Source organism: Homo sapiens, chromosome 17, assembly GCF_000001405.40.
Source record: "Homo sapiens chromosome 17, GRCh38.p14 Primary Assembly".
Taxonomy (NCBI): domain Eukaryota; kingdom Metazoa; phylum Chordata; class Mammalia; order Primates; family Hominidae; genus Homo; species Homo sapiens.
Window position 1 is genome coordinate 56,800,218 of NC_000017.11, and position 17,584 is coordinate 56,817,801.

The following is a 17,584-nucleotide window of genomic DNA, read 5'->3' on the forward strand; positions in this document are numbered from 1 at the left end:
ATCACACCCGGCTAATTTTTTGAATTTTTAGTAGAGACGGGGTTTCACCGTGTTAGCCAGGATGGTCTCAATCTCCTGACCTCGTGATCCACCCGCCTCAGCCTCCCAAAGTGCTGGGATTACAGGCGTGAGCCACTGCGCCCGGCAGCAAAGTGATATATTTTTTTAATTTACCCACGTTGCTTCTTCACTTAAAATGTCTGTATGCCTCCCACTGGTCTCAGGAGAAAGTTCTGATTCCTTAATATGGCTAAGGTCTTTCCATGACCCAGCTACACCCATCTCCTGAGCCTCTTCTCTCACCATCAATACACTTGAGCTTTGTTCTCCATCTTTCCCTGAACGGGCCATGCTTGCTGTTCTTTCTAAGGCTTCCAAAGCACCTGTTGTTTGCTCTGCCTAGAACACCCCTGTACCTTCTTATTTTCCCATCTCACTCTTACCTGACTTTTCAGGCCTCAGCTTAGATGTTACTTCCTCTAGGAAGCCTTCTCAGATTCCCTGTGACCCCACTTCTCTGGGTCTCCAAAGCTCCATAGACTTTTCCCAGCATAGCCCTCCCTGGTCATTCTGTGTGGCAGTGAGCTCTCCCTGAGAGTGGGGACTTCATTGGCCTGCCTCATACTGTTTAGTGGAGGTCGTAGGTGGGTTCGCTCATATATTGGTATCAAAATTGGATGTTCCAGCTGGGTGTGGTGGTGCACACTTGTAGTCCTTGCTACTCAGGAGGCTAAGGCGAGAGAATTACTTAAGCCCAGGAGTTTGAGGCTTCAGTGAGCTATGATCGTGCCACCGCACTCCAGCGCAGGCAACAGGGTGAGGCTCAAACAAAACTCAAAACAAAAAACTTGTTCTTTTATGTTCCCTCCAAAGAGAATGGATAGAGATGGGAATGATTTTTAACTTGGAGTGTGTTTTTTATATTGCCCTGAAGGAAATGTTGGTGCTGTAATTATAGGATGTGAACCATTACAAAGTATGCATAGAACAGGTCCATACAAACAGCAGGCCAATAATCAGAGAAGTGGCATTTCACCTTAGGAAAGAGTAGACATACTCAGTCATATTTGTGATGTGATTAAATTGTTTTTGGCATGTATCAATATCATAAAAACTCTAAATCATGGAAACCTTCCTATGGCATTAAGAAGGCTTTAACAAAGGGTCGGGTCCACTATAGAACTCTAAGTTTTTAAGTTTTTAGAACACCCTCTAGGAACTCTGCATTCTACATCAAATGTACTCATTTAAAAAGAAAAAGAATGTGCAAAGGAAGGAATTATGAAGTGTCCAATTTTTCTGATTTTTTTTTTCTTTCCCCCAAGACCCATGCAGTTTGGATTTGTTTTGGTTATGGTTGTTGTTTTCATTTAACTCATCAAAATACACTCAGTGTTCTGGCAGGGAGTCTCTGGGTCAGCTGGGGTAGAGGGCAGATGGTGAGAGGGCTCCTTGTGGGATCCAACAGTGATTCCCTGGCTGCTTTCTGAACATGTTTGCGGATTTGGGGCTGAGTTCCTTCCCTATCCAGGGAGTCTTTGGCCAGAAGAATAGTAATTGGGAGGAACAGGAAGGCCGTGTGCAGTCTTGTAAATAAGGAACAACAAGTTCCCAGCATATAACTTTACTTGTTCAACTATTCTGTGGAAGCAGCACACTGAAGGAACCCCTGCTGCCTGCTTCTTGCTGGCCTGTTTGCCAGACAGGGAGGAATAGAAGCTAAGAGTCTGAGTCTCCTTCAAACCTGGACCCTGTCATTATTGCTTTACCTCTCCAGCCTCAGTTTGTTCATCTGCAAGATGGGGATTGCACTAGCACTTGCTTCCTTAAGTTAGTTAACTTGCTTCCTTGGGTTAGATACTAAATGAAATGGTGCAAATAAAGTTTTGTGCCAAATAAGTAGCCTGCATTTGTCCCTCCAGATCCTGTCTGTCTCCCTTTTCGCCTGGCCGTGGGACCCAGATTAATTGTCGCCGTAGACTCCCTTGGCCTGTGGCTTCTGGTTGAGTTTCATCAGTGGGAGACACCAGAACGGATTAGAAGGTAGGAGGAGGGAGAGGCCAGGGTATTCAATCCCCTAGTTCCTCACCAAGGAGTCACAGCCACACCAAGCATAAATACAATCTCAAAAGAAATCATTTCAGCTTGAATGTCATCTTTTTAAAGAATTTCCACAGTTCACCTCAGCAATTGGCTGCATCCCTCTCCTGAAGGCCACAGCTCCTAGGAGGCTGTCCTCTCCAGCTCCGGGAACCGTCTGCCTCCCTTACCCCTTTATGGTCTAGAGGTTGTTAACCCTGATCTTTTATTATTTCTTGTTGGTTTGCCTTAATCCTGCCCACGCCTTTGTAAAAAGTCTCTTTATTAAACACTCTTCAGGTACCCAGTCTCCTGCTGGGATCCCAATACTACAGGGCCTTGGCACATGATTCTTGGCACATAGTAAGAATGCATTAAATGCTAGCTGTTAACTTTGGCTACTATTAGATAACAAAGATCTGAGTACACATCAAGATTGTGAAGGAGAGCATCTTTCCCAGGAACTGGTACACAGGAAACTTTCCGTAAAGGCTTGTTGAAGAAAAGACTACAGCATCATTCTTCAAAGCGTGAGCTGTGCTCCCCTCAGAGGCCCATAAGGCCAAACTATTTTTAGAATAATACTCAGACATTATTTGTCTTCCTGCTGTATTGGCATTTTCACTGATGTGCCAAGGCAGTGGCAGGTAAAATGACTGGCGCCTTAGCAGGAATCCAGGCAGTGGTACCCAATTCTATTAGCGGTCATCGTATCCTTCCCCACCACGCACTTACAGTACGAAAATAAAAATAAAACATTCTTAAAATGCCAGTTGCCCTGAAGAATGCCCTGGTGAAACAGTATAGAGTGACCCAAAAGGGCATATGCAGGCAGTACTTCTGCTGTATGACAAAGTGCAATGGGGTTTCACAAGGAAAAGCATGTGTGCAATTGCTGGTGTTGAACTGGCTATGCATGTTTTATGTGCATGTTGGGCAGACATCTTGACAATGAATGAAGTGAGCCTGTCACCTCAAGAAAAACAATTTACAGTATTTATTAAATAGAACTTCCCAGAGGAAACCAGATTTTGGAAAACTTACATCTGCTACAGAAGGCTGGCAACTTCCCAATACTTAAAGACTTTTATAATGAGATCACTGGTGATATTAACGAATGTCACTACTGATACACAGTACCTTTTATAATTATATACTCATTTGCATCTTTACTCATTTAATCTCTGTCCCTCTCAGCCAAATATCCACCCAGTTTTTTTATGGCAGTGACCAAAGTATATCTGGTCTGTGATTTAGTGCTTGGCACACAGTAGGACCACAACAAAGCTCACTGGAAAAATGTATAAAGGAGCAAATGAATAAATGAAATAACTGTTCTTTCCCTATAATCTTGCTAAATCCTCCTTGGAAATTTTCTTGATATCTGTGTCAGTCTGCTCATTATAACAGCCTAGGCCAAATGTACATTAAAAGCACCAAAAAGTAATATATATTTCACACTCCTAAACACCAACTGAAATAATCATTGAAGAAAAACAACCAAAACAGACACACACTGAGAATAAGAAAGAAATGAGCACTGGTTTCCATGACATTTCACTATTTATTTAAAATATTAGGAAAACGAATATGCCACAAAGGCTTAAAAAGCAATCATTAGTCAAATCAAAAGGCAAATTGCAAATCTGCTGAAAACCACAAATTCAACAATTGCACTGGCTGAGTTAGAAATGGCCCAACATTAAGGATAATCTCAAATGTTCCTGGACCAAGGAAGAAGGGGTATATGGAAAATGAGTTTTAATTTCTTCAGATTCCTTTCTCCAAGTGGGGGGGTGTAAATCAAAGCAAAACAAAAACCAGTATCTGTGTTCCATGTCAAATGCCAACTATAATGATTTAAGTAAATTATTTCTCAGTAATTAGAGCAGAAATTAAAAGTAGTCCTTTATTATGGCTCTGGAGTGGTGTGATAATGAACTTAAATACCCACCAGAACTTGACCTATGCTGAGAATCATAAAGTGGACAGTTATTCTATCAAGGCAGGACCTTTTTCCAAGAAGGCAAAATACTTCCTGTGACATTTTTGCAGAATTAAAGATCCATCAGCATTTGGAAAAATTATTTTGCTCATTAGTACAAGCAAGGTAATCCTATATATAGAATGGTGGCTCAGAACTTAACTGCACTGGAATACTGAAGGCTCCGTCCTAAAGAAAGGCAGAACAGTGCTGTGGGCAATTTACACCTCGGTCACTCCAAACTGGCCTTTGAGGTAATGGGGAACAAAAGGGTAATGGAGTTACTACATACATTTGTCAAAGAGCTAAACATGAAAGCATATTTTACAAAGACTACTTACAATAAAGCTAAAATGATTTATATTTGCCCAACAAGAACACTCCTTAAAGGATCACAGGCCAAAATGGAACACTTCCAAGAAAAGTGTATTCCCAGGTTTCACAAGCACTTACAAATATAATCACAAAAGAAATAATTTAAGCTTGAAGACATTCAAGCTTTATTCAAGCTTCAAGACATTCATCTTTTTAAAGAATTTCCACAGCTCACCCGAGCAATTGGCAAACAACCTCTTTCCTAAAATTTGAGTAGATTAAGAGAAATTTAATGAGTCTAAGTGAGGCGATAGAAAATATTTATTTGGAATAACCTCCAGGTTTTACAGCAGAGCTATATCCCACAAAATTTCTACCCTGGAGAGAAGCAAAGGAAGGAATGGAAAGAAGTAACAATCATTTAGTAAATGCCAATACTGTACGGTGCTTGGTGGTGGGGACCCAGAAGTAAAACAACTAGTCCATCTCCTCAAGTAATTTAGAACAGTCTAGTAGACAGACATAAAAGAGTCAAAAATAGCAACCTTGCGCTGCAATTGCTATGCTAGCGGGACGTTCTGATTTACTAGGGGGAGGCACCAGAAAGGCCTCTCAAAAACGACATCATTTAAGGTGAGTTTTTGGGGATGAATAAGAGTTAACCAGGTAAACAAGAGCAGAAGATACAACTACAAAAGCAGGTGCCATGGGAGGAGAACTTGCAACACACCATCATCCCACATACATTGTTTCTACTCATGGATTTCCACTGCCAATGAATGGCACTAAGTTGCCTATACAAAACCCTACACGTCATTTTTTATCCCTATTCCTCCCTCCCTGCACCCACTCCTCCTGCCCCAGCAACAGCCCACTGGTCTCCAATTCAAGATACCATAATCATGTTCCCATGATATCTCTACCTTAAAACCTCTACTACAATACTCTCTCAGAAGACAGTGACATTGAATATTAAAAATAACATGAATTGTTTAAAGTCTTTTGGAAAGCAATTCAATAATGTATACTAAAAGCTTTAAAAATATTCTGATTCTTGGACCTAGTAATTCATTTTCTCGGAATATACCCATAGAAAATAACTTAAAATATTAAAAGTACTTTATGCACAAAAATGTTCTGAGTGTTGTTTATAATAGAAAGATATTGGAAATGATCCAACTATCTAACAAAAGAGGATAATTCATGGTTACAAATAGATTATAATAATATGAGGACATGTGTATGTTAATATTAAGGGAAAAAACAGGATAGAAAATTGTAGATACTTTTTTTAAATATATACAAAGACTAAAAAGAAATACATTTTTTAAATGCCTGTCTTTGGGGAGAAGGGACAGGACTACAGTTGATTTTCCTTTTTTTTTTTTTTTTTTTTTGAGACAGAGTCTCGCTCTGTCGTCCAGGCTGGAGTGCAGTGGTGTGATCTTGGCTCACTGCAAGCTCCGCCTCCCAGGTTCACGCCATTCCCCTGCCTCAGCCTCCCGAGTAGCTGGGACTACAGGTACCCACCACCACACCTGGCTAATTTTTTGTATTTTTAATAGAGACGGGGTTTCACTATGTTAGCCAGGATGGTCTCGATCTCCTGACCTCATGATCCGGCCGCCTCAGCCTCCCAAAGTGCTGGGATTGCAGGCGTGAGCCACCGCACCCGGCCTACAGTTGATTTTCTTTTATTCTTTTGACTCTTTCTTGGTTTCCAATTTTTCAATAGTACGTGTGAAAGGTTTAAATATTTTTAATTATACAAGTAATTACTCTAGTATACAATTCAAACATCAAATCACCACCTTTAATCCTAGTCTCCTAAATGAGATGATACAGTTAAACGTCAACTGATTACCTCTCTAGATCTTCTTTTAGAAATTTACATGCATATCCATGTACCTATATAAATACTGCATATAGTATTGTTTTGGGTGTGAGTCCTAGGAAGGCAGAATTTTACTGTTACCCAGGTTGGAGTGCAGCAATCATAGCTCACTTCAGCCTTGAACTCCTGGGCTCAATCGATCTCCCACCTCAGCCTCTCCTGAGTAGCTGGAACTACAGGTGCATGCCACCCCACCTGACCAGGACTGTGAATTTTATTCAGAGTAAGACAGGAAGTCATTGGCAGGTTTTGAGCAGGAGAGGGTCAGGATCTTGTTTACACTTTAAGAAATGACTCTGACTGCTCCATTGACAGCAAGACAGGAAGTAGGGAGACCATTAAGAGATTATTGCTTAGTCCACTCTACAGATAATTGTGGTGGAGGTGGCAGTGGAGGGCGAGAAGTAGTCAGGTTCTGGATTTGGAGGTTGTCCCCTTAGCCCAATGTGGAACGCTAAGGCAGCAGCCATTATGAGGGTAAAACAGTGTATTTTGTTTGGGGCTGTTAGATCTGAAATGCTTGTTAAATATTCCAGTACAAACAGTGGTGTGGAGTAGACAGTCATGTAAATGACCAGGAAGAGGTCAGGCTGGAGATAGAAGTGTGTGCCGTCAGCAGGGAGGTGAGCTTTAAAGCCACATGGAGGGCAGAGCCCTGGGACCTCCTGACATTTAAACAGCTGTCAGAGGCCAAGAATCCAGTAAAGGAAACCTAGCAGCGGGAGCCACCAAGTGGAATGAGAAGCCTGGGCGAGGCATGCTGGGAAAGTGGAAACCAAGTGAGCAGAGTGCCCAGAAGGAAGGAAGAGAGATCAATTGTGTCAAAACAAAACTAACGTGTACTGGTTCCCAGTCCTAGGATGCCAGGAGCAGAGATGGACCACCTTTGCAGTTCTCCAAGACAGCACTTCTTGACTTGAAGGTGAACAGGGATCACCTGGGGGTTAGGGAGGCACAGATTTGCCTTTGGGAAGTATGGAGAGGAGCCTGGGTCTGCATGTCTGACGGGATCCCAGGTAAGGCCCGTGCAGCCCAGCTGGGGATCATATTTTGAACAGCAAGAGTTTAGACCACAATCCTGAAAATCAACATAAGCACATTCATCACTAAGGAAACCTTCAAGGAAAGCTCAGAATATTTTTCCACCTTCTTCCCTCTAAACACAAACCTAGCCCTTCTTTTCGCACAGCCTGATCTTCATTAATTTCTCCCCAAACAGAGGTTTTTTCTCTGTCAGGATCTTGAGCCTTCATTATACCATGAGCTCTCTAACATGATGGGGCCACTTTGTCTAAAGTAGAAAGTCAAGAGGATCGCTTGAGCCCAGGAGGCCCAGACTCCAGTGAGCCATGATCGCACCACTGCACTCCAGCCTGGGCAACACAGTGAGACCCTGTCTCAAAAATAAATAAATAATAAATAAATAAATAAATAAATAAATAAATAAATAAATAGTAGAAAGTCAATTCAGCTGAAACCTACATGCCTCCAAAAGGGATGTCTCCAAGCAAATTAGTTCCAGCCTTCGGAGAGGGTTCATCCCATTCCTATGAAGTCTAGAATCCTACTCTCCAAAATCTCTGAAAATGTGGGGTCAAGTTTATTCTGAATATTCTCATAACCAATTTCTCTACCCCTGCCACTTCCACATTCTAGCCATTCCCTTGCTCTCTTGTCAGCCCCCACCACCCCATACAACACATCCCTGCCATCCACCATTCCCTCAAGGAACTACTAACACAAAGTTTCTGTATGTAGCGGACTTGTCCTAAGGTTTGGGGGTAGCAGTGGGTAATAACAGCACAGAGCAGAAAGCAAATTTAAACTCAGTGTCCAGAGTTACCATAAAATAAATGTATCCGTTATTCCTGCTGCTGGGAATTTCAGTGGGTTGCCCTCCTTGGGTTCTACCTTCCCACCTTTCTCTTCATACGCTACCTCCATATGCTGCCTCCATACACTCAAAATCCCTCCTTCTCTCTTACCCAGAGCCATCTGTCTCCCTCTGATCTCCCTCTCCATCCCCTCTGGGCCTTGCCTTCCTTCATCTAGGTTCCCCGCAAGATGTCCGTGCTCCTCTGGGTTGAATACTGGCCCTCCCTACAGTACAGGGTTACCCAGCAATCTTCTCAAAAGCACTTTGTCCTTCCCACCACCAAGTCAGAAAAGAACAGCTTGTTGCAGTGAATCAGCAGGATCTATGTCAAACAGTCTAGCCCTTTGTGTGCACGGGCACAGCTTGTCTCAACCTGTTTTCAAAAAGCCTATAAATCCACAGAAGCCAACCTCTGCCAATATTTAAGCCAAGTGTTAAGTGTATAAACATGGCTCAGTAGATCTTCATGAGGAGAGACTTCTGCAAATCTTCATACTTGTTTTCATTTTGAATTCTTAACACCTCCCCTAAAGCACCATTTGTTTACCCTCATCAATGGCCTCTTCCCTCTCTGGAAGTGTTTTCTTTTGCACAGTCCCTTAACATGGAGAAGCAAAATAAAATAACCTGACCAGTCATCTCTCGGTGATTTAGTGTGGAGGGGTGAGTGTGAGGGTATGTGGCTCTGTTCTCAAGGGCACATGCATTCTCCAATGATCACTAACTCTACTCATTTGCCCAAGTCCACTTGTTTGTCTCCTGGGTACCATGGCAAGAAGGTGCAATAGCGCATCCAAAACGTCACTTCCTATTTCCCAGGTATGACAGCATCTAAAGGCAAGCATTTAAGAGGCTGTGTCCTGAACCTCTAAAGGGCCCCTGGAAACAAGATCTAATCACATCATTCCCCTGCTTGAAATCCCTGCACAGCTCCCTACTGTGTACAGAAACCCAACTCTGCTGTGGCATCCAAGTACCTTCCAACCCAGCCTCACAACAACCTGGCGATGCCATCTGCCATCATTCCACAAAACCCAGGTCCGCAAGTCAAGGCGAAAGTAGAAGAGGGGGCTGGAACTCAGACCTTCTGAAAAAATACTCAGTAAGGCCTTTTCAAAACACACACACACACGAACCCTCACACACCCCTCACACATACACCCTCACGTACACCCCTCACACACACCCTCACACATACACAGCCTCACACACACCCCTCACACACACCCCTCACACACAACCCTCACGCGCACACACACCCACACACACACCCTCACACACAGACCCCTCACAGACTGCTCACACACAGACCCTCACACACACCTATTACACACATTCACACACTCCTCACACATACACCCTCACACCCCTCTACACACATACACCCTCACACACACCCCTCTACACACACACCTCATACACAGACCCCTCACACACCCCTTACACATACACCCTCACACACTCACACACCCCTTACACATACACCCTCACACACACCTGCACCTTCACACACCTCTCACACACACCCCTTACACACACCCTTACACACACCCTCACACACCCCTCACACATACTCCTCACACATACTCCTCACTCACCTCACACACAATCCTTGCACAGACCCTTCACACACACACCCCAGACATCCCTCATACACCCTCACACATGCATCCCTCACACACACCCCTCACACACCCCTCACACTTCTGACACACACCCTCACACACCCCTCACACTTCTGACACACACCCTCACACTCCTTGCACAGACCCCTCACGCACACCCCTCACACCCCCACCTCACACACACTCCTTGAACACACCCTTCACACACACACTCTCACACACACCATCACACCCCTCACATACATCCTCACACACATGCATCGCTCTCCCACACTCCTCATGCACCCTCACACACCTTCACATACTCCTCACACACATACCCCTCATACAATTCTCACATTCGAATACACACACCCTCACACACACACCCCTCACACATCCCTCACACACACAAACCCCTCACATGCACAAACCCCTCACACACACCCCTCACACACACCCTCATACATACCCTCATACACACACCCCTCACACACATTCACACACACATACACACATACACAATACTGGCAGCCAAATTCACAGCATGGTGCATCCATCCCACCCTCTTCCCAAGCAAAGGGACATCTGTGCGCAGCTGTTCTTGGCCTACACTCAGAAACAGGGAGGGTGAGGAGGTCTTGGCAAAAGGCAAAGAGCCAGAAGGGCTGGCTCCCAGGAGGCAAAGGCCTTAGCCTCTGAACTCCCTCCTTCCCAGGCTATGAAGATGTGGGCCCGTATGGCAGCTCTAATGCCAGCCTCTGGCCTCCCCTGGCCAGAGGTCCAGGCTTATCGGCTCCTCACCACCCAAGGACAAACCTGAGGCCACTGCCTCTTATGCTCCAACTGGGAGTGCAGGGCCAGGATCATTTTGACAGTCACAGTTAAATGCAGTAAATTACCTCTTTTTACATGCCACTGACTGGCATTATTAATTTTGCTTTCAGTAAATCCATAAAAGAAGAAGTCAACAAGGAGACCCAAGAGGCGTGAGTGGGTCAAATGGTAAGTCGAGGATGTGGAGTACTCCCAGCCGCAGGGCCAGCATGAGGTGAGGAGGCCTGTGGTTTCTAGGGATACCCCTCCAGGGGCCTCAGAATAAACTGCCTGACTCCTCGCTTGGGTTGGTATCCTGCTGCCTCTGGCTCTTCTGTCACATTGCAGACTGGCACCAGGAAACCTGTGTCAGCCCCAAGGTTCTATCCAGAGCCCTACAATATGAGACCTGGAATTAGACATTCTGGAATCTAGGCCAGATTCCAGCCAAACTCTGCATTTTATAGATGAAAAAACTAGGCTTCCAAAAGAGGAAGTGACTTACCCAAAGTCCACAACTAGTTAGCGGCAGAATATGGACTGGAAATGCACTGGGTGGAATATTCTTCCTGCCTCATCCCTACCCCCTGCCCTGCCTGAGAACTCCTGGTCATCCTTCAAGCCACAGCTGGGTGGGCACCTCCTCTGGGAAGCCTTCCCAGCCTCCCCTTTCCTTCCAGTTGGAGCTCGAGACTCTCTTCTTGCAGAGCCGCAGTCCATTGTACCAGATAACCTCGTTAGTGAGCCCAAATCAGGCTGGGGCTCGAGACTCTCTTCTTGCAGAGCCGCAGTCCATTGTACCAGATAACCTCGTTAGTGAGCCCAAATCAGGCTGGGGCACTCTGGCTCCACCTCCACACAATGGGCACCTTGAGTAAGGAAGAATGTCTGGTTTATCTTTCATCCTCAGTCCCTGGTGCTTAGTAGGGCATGGTCAATATAAAATCTAATTAAGTGCACATCTTGATCAGCACGCACCACTTGACCCTCTCACTCTCTCTTTTTGTCTAAACAACTAAGATACTCTCCATACCACCCAGTTCAACATTTAACAGCTTTCTAAATGCTTTTATGTTCCCAACTAGACCACAGGAGCTGGTACACACGTGGCTGATTTCTCCCAGATGGCCTAGCCCAGTGGTTCTCAGCCTCGGCTGCAGGTTGGCATCACTGGGGCTTTGGCCCCATCCCCCATACCCAGGTCCCACCCCAGGCCACCCCTCTGGGAGTGGGACCCAGGCATCGGAATTTAAATTCCCCAGGTGGTTCCAGAATGTAACCAAAGTTAAGAAACACATTTCTAGAAAAAATACGATACCAGAAACTATTTGTTAATTCAACCAATTCTGTGTGTGTTCAAGTGAGTGCAATTATAGAGAGAGACAGAGAGAGACACACACAGCGTGACAGAGAGTAAACAAGAAAAAGTTTACTTGGCAATGTGTAGACTTGGTTCCTCTCCTTTGGCACTACTGACATTTTGGGCCAGAGGGTGGTGGAGGCTGCCCTGTGCCCTGTGTAGGGTGTTTAGCAGCATCCCTGGTCTGTACCCACTGGGTGCCAAAAGCAATGCCCCACACAGGTGTAACCACCAAAAATGTCTTCAGATATTGTCAAATGTCCCTGGGGATGAGGGGGCATAATCACCTATGGATGAGAACTACTGGTGTAGACTAGCCACCCAATAATTGACTGCATGTTTGTTTCACATTTCAATTGTAAAACATATGACCACTTTTCCAAACTGGACTGAATGCCTGAGGATTCTGGACATTGGATGAAGTGTCTCTGAGAGGGACATGGAGGATGGGATGGTGGCTCAGCAATAGGTTCTGAGGCAAGAAGGAGTTACATGGAAACTAATCAGGTAGGTTCGAGGCAGTTAAGAGGAGCAGGTGGTGGTCAAGCCTATAAAAGATGAGCAAAACAAACCAGAAAAAGCCAGATATTCAGTAAAATTGCAAAGTTGGAAGCAAGCAGAGGGCTGTCAAGGATTAAGGGAGGTGATGACCACAAGTGGGAAAAAGCAAACAGAGGAGAAGCTTTCAGAAGTTTTTGAGCAGGGGAAGGACCACACAAAACAGGGTTTTAGGGCCAGAGTCTAGCCTGGCAACAACAGTTGCAACAACGGGCTGCAGCAATTCAAACCCACCTGTTCACCCACATCTACAATGCCTCAGTTAGGACAAAGACTGTTATTCCACAGACAGAGTTCAAAAGAGCCAGGTGCAGATGCTGGCACAGAAAATGTCAGGGGGCAGATGTGGGAGTCATTAGAGCTGCCTCTCGAGCACCTTGAGCAGGAGCCACTGCTTTGAGGACTCTTCAACCAGCTCCCCCAGCCCCTGCCGGGTCCCTGAGGAAGAGCTGCAGAATGGCCGCTCCAGGCATCATGCCAAAAGCACAGGGGGCCAGCCAGAGCCCCCACCCCCAACCCGCCAGCCGCCAACAGGATCCCTCCCTCCAGGCATCCTCCTCCCCATCACAGTTGTGCACATGCTGCCCTTCCTTCACCCCAGCCCCTCCTATGCCTCCCCGCCTTGCTCTGCCACCCCCACTCTCTTGGCTTCTCTATCTCTCTGCATTCCTTCTCAGCCCTTTCAGGGTTCCTCTTCCCCTGCCCACCTCTGAGTGTTGGTGATCCCAGACTTCAATCATGGGCCCCTTCTCTCATTGTCTCAAACTCTCTAACACCCAGATCTGTACTCCCCAACTTGAAAAATCCTTCAGTTGTTCTCTACTAGATACAAGATAAAACCCAAGATACCTCTTATTCTACAAAAAAAAAAAAATTAAAAGCCACATCTATCCCTAAGAGCCTGAAGTCATCTGTTCTTAAATCATACTGCATAGCAGCCATTTGCTTACTTCTGTCTCCACCACAGACTTTGAGCAGAAACCTACAGCCCCGGCACCTAGCAGGTACCAGGTACTTAATACTCAGAGGAGTACTTACCATTTGCTGAGCACTTTCTAAGTGCTTTCTTAAAAAGTACTTTGTTTTATCATCATAAAATAATTATTTTACATTATTATTTATAATAATAATATTATAGTAATATCAGCAATAGTATTTATTATCCCCATTTTATAGATGAAAGTACTGAGCTGCAGAAATGTGAAGAAACTTCCCCAAACTTACCCAGTTAGTAAACAGGGAGATTCAAACCCAGTCTGACCCCAAAGTCAGCACTCTTCGTCACTGTGCAATACTATATCTTAATAAGAGCCTTTAAATGAAATAATCTAATTATGCACGAGATTTTGCAGTGAATGAAGGTAAATGCTACTGCAGCTCCTTCTGAGCCTCAACATGGAGATTCAGGGAAAACAGGATAAGCATCGTGCCCAGATGAAGGGGCCAGGATGGGAGACCAGCCTGACAGACAGGCTTCCCAGACATTCTAACTTTGCTGGGTCACTGCTACTTCCCTTCACTGGGTGGGGCTAAAATGCCACCAAAGTCAGTATCATTTTAGCAACAGGAGGAACCAAGCCAGGCCTGAATTGGGTCCGGGGCCAGCATAGCAGGGTCTAGTAACATCTACTCACAGAGGGAGCCTGGTTCAGAAAGACTAGACAGGTGGATATCATGACCCCACAGGGCAGAAGTAAGGCCAGAGACCAAAATCAGAGGGATGAGATCAGAGCAGAACCCCTCAGGCAGCTGGGGCAGAGATTCTCCCTGCCTGGACAGACCATCATTGACCAAGGATGCTGGTCCAGCCTGCTCCGGGGCCCAAGGGAAGAGGCAGGAGATGGGGTTAGCGTTGGCTAAAGGGAACAGCTCCCCAGCAAGCAGGACAGGGGTGACATTCAGCAGCCCTCTCCAGATTCTAGAACTCCCACCATTGGCCTCATTATTTTCTATTTTAAGTTACCCTGTTCATAACAGGTGAGTCGGGCTGGCACCTCCAAAGGAGAAAATGCATAGGTAAAAGATTGAGATTGCAGCTATCTTCTACCTGAAACTCTAACCAAACCCCTAACTAGCAGCCCATGCTGGGACCAACACCTAGTTTCATAGTGAATGGCATTCAAATGATCACATTTTCTTTAAAACTGCCAGAGCAAAGCACTCACCCGCATTGGCTCATCGGGGAATCCGGGTTTGCTTGGTCTATCCTGTCGCCGAGATCTTAGGAGCTGTTTGGCCTGCTTCTCTGTCAAAATCGGGGAGGTCTCTGGAAAAGTCGGGAAGGTGCCTTAAGGACACTCAGGCTCAGGAGTTCATGAGCCATCTCAACAGTCCAAGGCAAAAGATTTGCAAGTTCAATTTTGGTTAAAACATGAAAGTTCTTTCCCGGGGACCTGTCCCAAAGGATGCAGCATTCCAGAGGGCTCAGGAAGGAATTTTGAATTGTTTCTAACATGATTACTCAGAGCAAAAGCTGCACAACCTAAACATATTTACTGATTGCAATGGTCCATCTCTTTGAAAGTGGGTATTAATTTAATGAATCTTCAGTTCACTGGTCTGTGTGTCTTAGGTTTGCTTTCATGGAAGTTTTTTTTAATCCTCACTACACTAAATCAAGTTTAAAGTCATTACTGGAAGATGCCCAGTGATAATAAGATTATGTTAAACTTGATCATCACAACCCCTCAAAGAAGATAGTATAAAAGTGCTTTGATAATTACTTGCAAATTCTAAAAGATATTATCATCATAAAAATATATCAAATTTTGGTGATCTCATATAAACTCTAAAATAAGCTATTAGAAGCTGAAGATTTATCAGCATTTTTGAGAATTAGTGCTCAAATACATTTAAAGATTTTTAAAAAATATATAACATCTTTAATGATAAAAATTCTGGAAGCCTACTCTTATGGAAAAATAAGAAAAGAAAGAGCATTGAAATATCTATATACACTATATATTATTTAAAATTAAAAAATTAAATATCAAATAGACTATTATTTATCATGTCAGCATAGAAATAGGCTGTTTTTGGAGTCAGTGCCCACCTGAGAAGACAGTCAGTAAGGTAAGAGACAGCACGAGCACAGGCAATGTCTTCATCCTGCCTTGGTTCCTCTGCCTCTTGCTGAGTGAATCCTCCCAGACTGAGTCAGCCAACTTGAAGGAAGCCATGCCAGGCCCTGCGCTTGTTTATGCTTTGACTAACGGGACTTACGGTATGATGCTGAATGTATCTGACTCTGAGCGTTTTAGTAATGACCACTGAAATATTTTCCTCCGAATTCCTGTAAATTTTCATCCTGAGGAAGGAAATTGTTCCTCTGTAATATGACTTTCAGAGCTTGAATCTGAAAAAGCAACATGTGATATTCACTTCATTTAAACAGACAGATAAGCACCAGACAGATGTTTGTGAGTGTTTCTCTGGAGCTTCCATTTATGCTCCTGTTTCATTGAGAATTCATGATCTATTACACATTTGTATCTTTTAGGACATTTTTCTAAAGCCCATTCACCAGTCTAATTTGATCTTCCCAATAATCTCAGAGGTAGGCAGGGAAATTAGCAAGGGGCATGATGAGTGGGGAAAAACAATTTTCAGCTGACTTTAGAGACAGAAAAACAGAGTTCAAATCCTAGCTTCAATTTTTTCTAGCAATGTAGCCTTAGGTAAGTGACTTACCCTTTCTGAACTTCAGTTTCCTCCCCTGTCAAAAGGAGATAAGAGCACCTACCTTGTGGGGTGCAATAAAGGATGAGGGGAAAGCTATGACCTTCATGGCAGCTAGTACTATTCATCGTCCACTTCCATCTTACAGTAAGAAAAGTGAGATTCAAAGATGTGAAATCAAGTTCAAGTTCACACATTATGGATGCCAAGGTAGAGCCTACGTCTTCTGTCTTCAAACCTAGATCATGTGCTCTTCCCAGTAAGCCCCATAACCTCAGGGACAACTCCTCATCTTTTACAGGGCCTCACGCAACATGCTGTCATAAGACTGGAACCAGCCATGCTCCAGATTCAAGGGTATTTTTATAAGGACAACAAAAGTTTAAGAAGCTGAAGTCATTTCAAATTCAAATCATCTATAAATATCACATGAAGAAAGTTTCTTGTTTTGTTTTGGTTTGGTTTGGCTTGGTTTGGTTTGGTTTGGTTTTGAGATGGGGGTCTCACTCTGGGTCTCACTTCAGGCTGGTGTGCAGAGGCTCACTGCAGCCTCTAACTCCCAGACTCAAGCGATCCTTCCACCTCAGCCTCCCGAGTAGCTGGGACTACAGGCACGCACCACAACACTCAATTAACTTTTTTATTTTTTTATTTTGTAGAGACAGGGTCTCACTATTTTGACCAGGTTGGTTTCAAACTCCTGGGCTCAAGTGATCCTCCTGCCTCAGCCTCCCAAAGTGCTGGGATTACAGGCATGAGACACTGCTCTCAGCCTAAGAAATTCAATACATGATTAAAATATGTCTGGAAAGCATGTGACATTTATTTGGATAAAATTCTGTATTCAGAGAGATGATCTGATGTTTCTGTGGTCACTTTGCCAGCTCAAAAGAAAACAATACCCTATGTGTATTTCTCCAAATTTATGCTAATGTGTAACTGATATTAAACCTGAATGTGCTGCCCACACAGTCAACATAAAGATATTTTGAGCAGATTGTAAACAAGAAAAAAAAGATCATGCAATGTTAGCAAAGTTGTCTCACATGTTCATTTGCTCAAATATATATATATATAAGTAAATTTTTTTTTTGAGACAGGGTCTCATTCTGTTGCCCAGGCAGAAGTGCAGTGGTGCAATCACAGCCCACTACAGCCTCAACCTCCTGAGCTCATGATCTCCCATCTCAGCCTCCTGAGTATCTGGGACTACAAGTGTGCATCTCCATGCCCAGCTGATTTTTTTTCTTCCTTGCAGAGATAGGGGCTCACTATGTTAGCCAGGCTGGTCTCAAACTCGCAGGCTCAAGTGATCCTCCTGCTTCAGCCTCCCAAAGTGCTGGAATTACAGGCAAGAAAGAATTACTGCACCTGGCCCATTTGCTCAAAATTCAATATTTGATTTCATGCACTCTGCTGC

The 17,584-nt window shown here is 44.3% G+C and overlaps 1 protein-coding gene across 1 annotated transcript in view; it reads right to left on the reverse strand.

Moving 5' to 3' along the window:
* Positions 1-17,584, reverse strand: part of C17orf67 (chromosome 17 open reading frame 67) — a 42,008-nt gene that overhangs the window by 8,305 nt on the left and 16,119 nt on the right. The window contains exons 5-6 of the mRNA NM_001085430.4: positions 15,539-15,793; positions 14,652-14,752 (exon numbers count right to left, since the gene is read on the reverse strand). Coding sequence (NP_001078899.2) covers positions 14,652-14,752; positions 15,539-15,593 — 156 coding nt within the window. The 5' untranslated portion in view covers positions 15,594-15,793. The remainder of the gene's footprint in view (positions 1-14,651; positions 14,753-15,538; positions 15,794-17,584) is intronic.